The 8,548-nt window shown below is 39.8% G+C and overlaps 1 annotated feature.

Annotated features, from left to right (window-relative positions):
* Positions 1,122 to 2,538: a transcriptional cis regulatory region, noted in NCBI's record as "candidate enhancer chr1.6877 targeted for multiplex CRISPR interference". NCBI's record gives its function as "positively regulates PTGER3 gene expression with high confidence in K562 cells {active_cell/tissue: K562}" and the evidence as "EXISTENCE:mutant phenotype evidence [ECO:0000015][PMID:30612741]".

The following is an 8,548-nucleotide window of genomic DNA, read 5'->3' as shown; positions in this document are numbered from 1 at the left end:
AAGTTTTTATATATATAGGCAAATTTCAAAACAACATCATGGAACATTTAAAAGCTCAGAAATAATTTGAGGCAAGGTTTAAGCAAATAAAATCACTTCGTAATATCATTTTAACAAAATTATTCAACTTTTCTCCAAAAGAAAAGTGCAATATCATTTCCTTTGTCTTTTTTTACCTTTTAATTTAGGTTCAGGGGTACATGTCCAGGATGTTCAGGTTTGTTACATAAGTAATGTGTGTCAAGGGGGTTTATTGTACAGATTATTTCATCATCTAGGTATTAAGCCTAGTATTCATTAGTTATTTTTTCCTGATCCTCCTTTTTCTTTTTGTTGTTGATTTTTGTTAAGTATATAGAGGCAAAGAAGATAGAAATCAGAACATGATATCTTGAATATTCTCCATTATTCTATAACATGGTCCTTATTTTATTTTGGCTTATCTTGTCATGTTTCTAAGGCAGATACTTCATGTTAATTGTAGATTTTCCATAGATGGCAAAATGGATTTTTTTTAAATGATACATGGTAGCTCCATCTTCCTGCAGGTCACAAGGCAACCTGAGGGTATTGGGTAACCTGTGGCTATAATATAAAGTATATGAATTTAAATTATAAACTTATACTTTAGGGATTGACGAATTAGCATTGGCTTAAATTTTGTTAAAATTATGCTTAAGAGTAATATAAAAGTAATATTCTCTTTGTAAGGCAGGAAAGCAGGCCAAGGGACTCAACAGCCTCTCATTGGAGTTTTCTCTCTGATTATCCCAGTACTTCACTCTCGCTCAAAACGGTTACACCAACCACTCTTATAGCATAACCATAACTTAATGTAATATGAATAACCATATTAGCCACAGGAAAGACATTACACATATAAAATTACAGGAAAGCTGTTCCCTTACCAATAGTAAGAACATCTAGCCTTCCCCATCAGGATGCTTCAGCTACAACTGGAAGAATAACAGACTAAAAGTAGTTCAACAATAGGAGTTTAGTAAGTCATATAAACCAAGTCTGGTAGTAGAAAGTTTTAGGGAAATCCAGCCCTTCAAAGAACAATCGGGGACCTAGGCTTGTTCTTTCTTTTTTCTCTACTCTCTTTGGAATGCTTGCAAAGTGTCTCTTCATAGTTGCAAAATTGATGTTATGCTTCTAACTATAATCATCATGTTCACACAAGATGATAGCCAAAGAGAAAAGAAAAGTCCGTTTTCTCTCTCTCTCCACCTTCCCCCTTTCCTCGACTCTCAGTATAATGGAAGGTGTAAGGACTAAAATAAAGGCCAAATATTATGTATTGGTTTGACATCTCATGAAAATGTTAGAGCCTCCTATGGCCCAACTAAAATTCTTCCTCCCCACTCTGCTCCCACAGATAAGGTCCCCTAGCGAAAAGACCCTCCTTATCAAGGTGACCAGACACAGCTCCTATTCACGCTTGAGTATCAGGTTTCAGTTCCCTGACAGCCCACAGGATTATTCAAACAAGCCCGTCACATACCCCCTCAGGAACCAGGGGAGAACCACATCCTGTTGATATGACAAAGCCTGCCCCCTACTACCCCTAGCTGTTCGCCGTGGTCCCAAATGCAACACCTTCCCATGTGGCCATGTGTGGCATGGGCTCCCCTCCACTCCCCTCCTCCTCCCCTAGAGCTATGAGTATATGTGGCCAATAAACTGCTGCAAATCTCACCTGCCCAGCTGTCTTTATATCCCTAGAGAGGGAATTCCTCACTCTCTTGCCAAGGGAGTGAATTGAAGCCAATTTTAAAAATCCTGGAAGGAAATCATTCCCTGAATTTCCTCAGAAAACTTCTATTTTCTTATGTCTCATCTACCAGAAAAAAATCAGAGTCAGCCCAGAGCTAGTCACCAGCAAAGAGGACTGTAATGATTATGACTGGCTTAGACTAGTCAGGCAGCACCCTCTGCAAGGTGCACAGAGCTGCCTGCCATCAGGACACAATTGGGGCTCTGTTAGGGAAGAAGAGGGGAGGCCCTCACACTCACCTTTTAGTATTACTAGGATTGTCTCTGCAAAGGCACAGTTAGAAGCACTGTCAGGTCTGCTTCTAACACGGGAAGTCTGGATCTTTTCATTCTGCCTGTCCCTGTAGTGGGTGTAGTAGTAAATCAAAGGTGAATGGCTGCCAAGGGGATGCAAAGAGGGATAGGCGATATCAGTATAAACACTCTGTTTGCATTTAATCCAGTCAACCTCTATGTGTGAAAGATATTAGCCTCACTCTGCTGATGGAGAATTAAAGCTTTGCACTAAGTTCAAGGGCACCACATACTAAGTAGTGGATTTGGGATTCAAATGTGGGTCTGTCTGACCACAGAGCTTAAGCTCTCTTGTCACTACACAGATCAGGTGGGCTGAGGCATGAATCTCAATGTCACAGGAGGCTGCTGAAGGCGAGGAAATAAGCTGCTGACACTAGAAAACTTGCTTTAGTAGCATGAAATCTAACCAAATGAGGCCCTGGGGGTTTCTTTGGGACAAGGAAATAAGAACCCACTGGAGCAAAGTGAGTTTTCTACATAGATATATCGAACTTACAAGCCAGCTCTCAGTCATCTGGGAACTGATTACACAATCTGAAGATTAAAATTCACCTCTGCTTCCTCTTCTACCTGAGCCCTACATTTTGGTCATTCTCCTAAACAGAAAAGAAGTACATAAATATGCTACTCAAATCAGTCACCTTGGTAATCGATTAATAGATTTGATAAATTTTCTCTAAGGGAGAAGAGTTCATGTAAATCGCTTTGAGGATATCTATGGATTCTGAGTCATAGCTTTTTTAAAGCGGATATAATGTGTTTATTTTAATTCAATAATTCTAGTCTTTGTTCCAGTATTTTAAATCATTTCTTTTCAAAGCTCTCATTTGAATCTACTTCATAACAGAATTAGTAAAGTAAACGAGAAGATAAAGAAGTAAGCATATTTGTGTAATCAAATTAAATTATGTATGATTTTAAAATAAAAAAGACAAAGCTAAGTGTAGTAGGCTGAATAATGGCTCCTATAGAGACCCACATTGTAATCCCTGGAACCTGTGAATGTTGCCTTATAGAGCAAATGAGATTTTGCAGATGTGATTAATTTAAGGATCTTGAGTTGGGGAGAGCAGCCCAGATTATCCAGGTGAGCCTTAAATGTAATCACAAAAGTCCTTATAAGAGGGGCGCAGAAGGAGATGACTTTCTGACTACAGAAGACAGGCCAGGTGCTACGGGAAGCAAAGATCGGAACGGTACGCTTTGAAGATGGAGACAGAAGTCACAAGCAGAGGGACACAGGCAGCCACAAGAAGCTGAGAAGGGCAAGGAAACAAATCCTCCCCCTCAGAGCCTTAAAAAGCCCTGCTGACACTTTGACTTTAGCCCAGTGAAACTGATTTCAGACTTCTGAGCTCTAGAACTGCAGGAGGTAAAGAATAATTTCTAACAAGGCAGAAAAAGAAAGACTTGAAGACAAGTAAACTGATTTTGAGTATCAGGTCCTCCAGTCATTAGCTGTGTCACCTTGGATAGTTCAGCAGTTTCGAAGGCAAGTATTAAACCTCTCTGAACCTGTCTATTAATCCATAAAAGGGGTGATGACAATAACTGTTGTATTAGAGTTCACCAGAGAAAGAGAACCAATAGGATGGATATACAGAGAGAGATTTATTTTAAGGAATTATCTCCTGCAATTTTAGAAGCTTGACAAGTCTAAAATCTGCAGGGTAGGCCGGCAGGCTGGAGAGTCGGGGAAGAGTTTCAGTGTGGGTCCACAGGCAAACAGCTGGCAGAATTCCTTCTTATTAGTGGGAGTCGATCTTTTTCTCTTAAGGCCTTCATCTGATTGGATGAGGCCCATTCACATTATGGAGGGTAATCTGCTTTACTCAAAATCTACCAATTTAAATATTAATCTCATCTAAAAATACTTTCATGGAAACATCTAGAATAATGTTTGACTAAATATCTGTGTACCATAGCCTAGCCAAATTGACACACAAAATTTACTGTCACAAGCACCTGATGGGATTATTATGAAAATAAATGAGAGAATATATGCAAAACACAAAGCAGGATAAAAACATCTGATACTATTAACATTACTGCTCATGAAAGGAAACATGATATACTACCAAAGGGCATCAGTTCTGTGATGAGACAACTCTGAATTCAGATTCTAACTTGATCACTCACTGCATCCATCACTTTATGATCTTAACCTCTCTGCCTATCAGCTTCCTCCTTTATAAAACATGATTTTTGAAACCTAGCTTATTTTGGTATGTGAGGGTTAAATAAAATATTAATTCAATGAAAAAAAAGTATTTTGCTAATTGAAAACATGTGAATGTTCCTCTTTCCCCTCCATCCTCCCCAGTTGTGCCCCTCTTAGCTTCACTAGACTTTGCACCCCTGTGGCTTCCCGTGATGCTATTGCCCAACTGAAAGGACCTGAGGAGAAGGAGAATAGAGAGGAGAGTAAGGTCTAAATATTTACCATTGAGTGTCTTCACTAAAAACATAACCCTCTGGGAAAAACATATTTCAATAAACACTATTTTAACATAAGATTTCATTTTATGAAGTGACTCCCACATCCTGGCTGATGGCCCATGCTAGCTAGCGAGGATTTGCCAATCTGTTTTCAAAAAATTCTGTTAAGAAAAAATGTTATAGACAGATGCATTCCCAAGACTGTATATGCTGGAGTCAGCCAATTTGGCAATTACATTGTAATTTTCATTCCATATTTATTCTTTCTACTGTAACGGTATCCAACAAGATTTCAGTGAAGGGTAAAGAACTAGAGAAGTGGAAAGAACACTGGCTCCGGGGTCATTTTGAGCCTGGTTTGGATCCAAGTTCAGCCACTTTTGAACTGTGTAACTCCAAATAAGGCTCCAGGGCTTGATTTCCTCTTCTAAAAATGGAGATGATAATAGTGCTACTGTTCCAGATGGTTGCAAGAGTTAGAAATAATAACTGCGAGGTATCTGGCATGTAAAAAATAAATGTTCTGACAATACACTAGTGTCATCATAGGGAGTTTTCTAGAGTCTGGAAAGGACTCTAAGAGATAGGTTTTAGTATAAGGGATATCAGAAAATCTCAGCAAACTGTGGAGTAAAGAATAATAGGTTGAGCTCAGTGGACAGAACTGGCAAATGAAAATAAAACAAGTAATGTCTCTCCTGCTGAGAAAGGTTCATTTAACTAAAAACCAAAGTTAATGAAGCATTCGTGAGACTCTTAAGTTTGTTATAATACAAAGTCCCTAATATCTAAAGAACTGAAATAAAATTTCAACAATTCCTGGCTTTTCTACTCTGGCTAGAAAAGAACTTCTTTCCTTGGCATCCACAGAATCTATGTGATGAAGTAGAAGCGGACCCACGCTGGGATTGAAGGCCAATGGCTTCTAGTTTAAGCTCCGGCAGTGAGTTACTGCACGGTAGAACAGAAAATTTCCCAAGAAAAGAGTAAACAAAAGAAATTTGGAATCACTCACCCAAGGATACATATATCAGAATCAGTTTTATTATAAATAAAAGGGAACCCAAAGGAATTCTGGCTTAAGCAAGATAGGATAGAGAGGAGATAGTTGGTCCAGAACTTGTTTGGTGACTCCACAATCATTATCCATTCTAATTTTGCACTCTCTGTCTATATTTCATTCTCTAGATTGCTCATGGATATCTACTAGGATATCTACTGGATATATTGTTAGGATATAGATATATTGGCAGATACCTACTAGGATATCTACTGGATATATTGCTAAGATATATTACTAATACCAATAGCTAAAATATCTAGAGGACAAAAGAAATCCTGTCATGTTTAGCACATTTTTCTAGTCATCAAGTATTTACTGAGCACCTGCTATGAACTGGGTACTGTTCTAGGTACTAGGGACACATTCTAGTAGATAATAAGCAAACAATCAAATAAATAATATGTGGAATGCCATGAGAAAAACATAAATGCATGAATGCATGTTGTACCACTCAGAGTCCTACATGCAGATGGCTGTATCCAGTAGTTGTCTCAGCAGGAAGGGATCCAAGAGCTGATGGAGAACTCACAGAAAACCTCCAGAACTATACTATAAAACTGATCTGAAAGGAAGCTGCAGCTGCTGCTGCCACCACTGACCTTTACACCACACTGCCTTTGACACAGGCAAAGGCTGCTTTTGCTCCAGCCAGCACGGAAGCTTGGGGCTCCTGCTGACACTTACATTAGCAAAAGGAGTGCCCATGTTCAGCCTGCTTGTCACACAGCTGCCTTCCAAATCAAAGCCTTCCATCTGATCAGTGGTATCCGCACTCCTCTGGTGAGGGGGGCTGGAAATTCCAGATTTTTTTTAAATTCTGCATTCGAAAAATTGGAGTTTACATTGGATTCGCAATATGGGAAACTACTAAAATGAGAAGGGGGTATGCAAAATATTTGGGAAAATCATACATGACAGATATCCACTGTTGAGTAAAGTAAGCTGGAGAGTAAGCGGGTGTTAATTTAGATGGTGTGGTCAGGGAAGACTTCCTTGAGAAGGCAGTATTTGAACACAGACCTGGAGGAAATAAAAAAGCAAATGCAAAGGCCTTGAGAAAATAGCATATTTGGTATACCTGAGCAACAGAAAACAGATCAGTGTACCCAGAGCAGAGTTATTGAGGGGGCTAGAGAGAGGAGACAAAGTCAGAGGATAATGAAGGAGGCGGTCAATCAGGAAGTAGTAGCATTTTGTTGGCTATGATAAGGAGGCATTTAAAGCCAGTTTCTCCATCCTATTTGTTTAAGTACAGGCTAACTAAATATAAGTTGGAGGCAGGGGAAATAATTCAATATTCCTTCTATCATGCCTAACATCGGTGGCTTTCAGGACCCTTGTCCTTTGCCAGCTCCCTCCTCCAATCCGCCCTCCCCCAGGCCAAGGTAAATATGCTTTTATATTGTCTACATTGATTTGATTCCCAGTTTTCTTTCTTTCAAGGTCTTCTTTCTTATTTTCTGTATCATAACCTGTGCTCCAGTAAGGAACTAGTTGAAATGGGACAGGACACCAGAGAGTTATTTATAGAAGGTGAGGCTGTATTAGTCCATTCTCGCACTGCTATGAAGAACTACTTGAGACTGGGTAATTTATAAAGGAAAGAGGTTTAATAGGTTCATGGTTCTGCAGGCTGTACAGGAAGCATGGATTGGGAGGCCTCAGAAAACTTACAATCATGGCAGAAGGCAAAGGGAAAGCAGGCACATCTTACATTGGCTGGAACAGGAGAAAGAGAGTGAGGTGGCAGGTGCTACACACTTTTAAACAACCAGATCTCTCAAGAATGCACTTATTGTTATGAGGACAGCACCAAAGGGGAAATCCACTCCCATAATTCAATCACTTCCCACCAGGCCCCACGTCCAACACTGGGGATTACAATTTGGCAAGAGATTTGGGCAGGGACACAGAGCAAACCAGGAAAAGAATTCATCCTAAGGAAAGTGAGAGTCAAGTCACACTAATTAGATTCAGAGAAAAGTGGGTAAGGTAGGAGCGAAGGGATGATTTAGGTACCACCATTTCTGGAATGAAGATTCTTCTTAGATTAATCCACCCAGGACAGGACTCACTTGTGCCCTAAGGCGTACAACTATAATTTTAAAAGAGTGAAATACTCTAAGATCTGCACTGGTGCAAGATGGCAGGACACTGATCCCAGCCATTTGTGCAGTGGTGAGCAAGGACAAGAATGACCTCTGAAGAGATAAATGACTTATAGAATAGATATTGGCAGTAACCAAGAACAGGGTTTATATTTAGCACACTATGTTAGAGCTGCCTCTTTGGACATCATTAAAAACAGAAAATATTGGCTGGACACAGTGGCTCATGCCTGTAATCCCAGCCCTTTGGGAGGCCAACGCGGGTGGATCACCTGAGGTCAGGAGTTCGAGACCAGCCTGGCCAACATGGTGAAACCCCATCTCTACTAAAAATACAAAAATTAGCTGGGTGTGGAGGGGGACACCTGTAATCCCAGCTACTTGGAAGGCTGAGGCAGGAGATTCACTTGAACCCGGAAGGCAGAGGTTGCAGTGAGCTGAAATTGCACCATTGCACTCCAGCCTGGGTGACAGAGTAACACTCTGTCTCAAAAAAAAAAAAAAAAAAAAAAAAAAAACAGAAAATAATCATAGAAACCTAGTGCAGGAAATGAAAAACTTGGCTAACGTGAGGCAGCAAAAAGGACCAGTTTATGAGTCAGTGAAATTAGATTTGCGGAAATCCAGCTCTACTTGGAACAAATATAAAAGCTTTTAGTCTCCTTTGAATGGGAAGGACTGAAGCCAGAAAAATGACAATGACCCTCTGACATTATACAGGTTATATGAAAATCATGCCTAAATATTAGAAGTTAGGGCAATTCCTTCATGATTTAACAATATGTTTCGGACATCTTGAGGAAAGAAGAGACTTGTGCAAAAAAAAGTCTAGGGCTTGGGATGGAGATTGGAGGTAGTTATT

This window comes from Homo sapiens, chromosome 1 (assembly GCF_000001405.40).
Source record: "Homo sapiens chromosome 1, GRCh38.p14 Primary Assembly".
NCBI lineage: Eukaryota > Metazoa > Chordata > Mammalia > Primates > Hominidae > Homo > Homo sapiens.
Note: the sequence above shows the minus strand (reverse complement) of the source record. Positions and strands in the feature narration are given on the sequence as shown.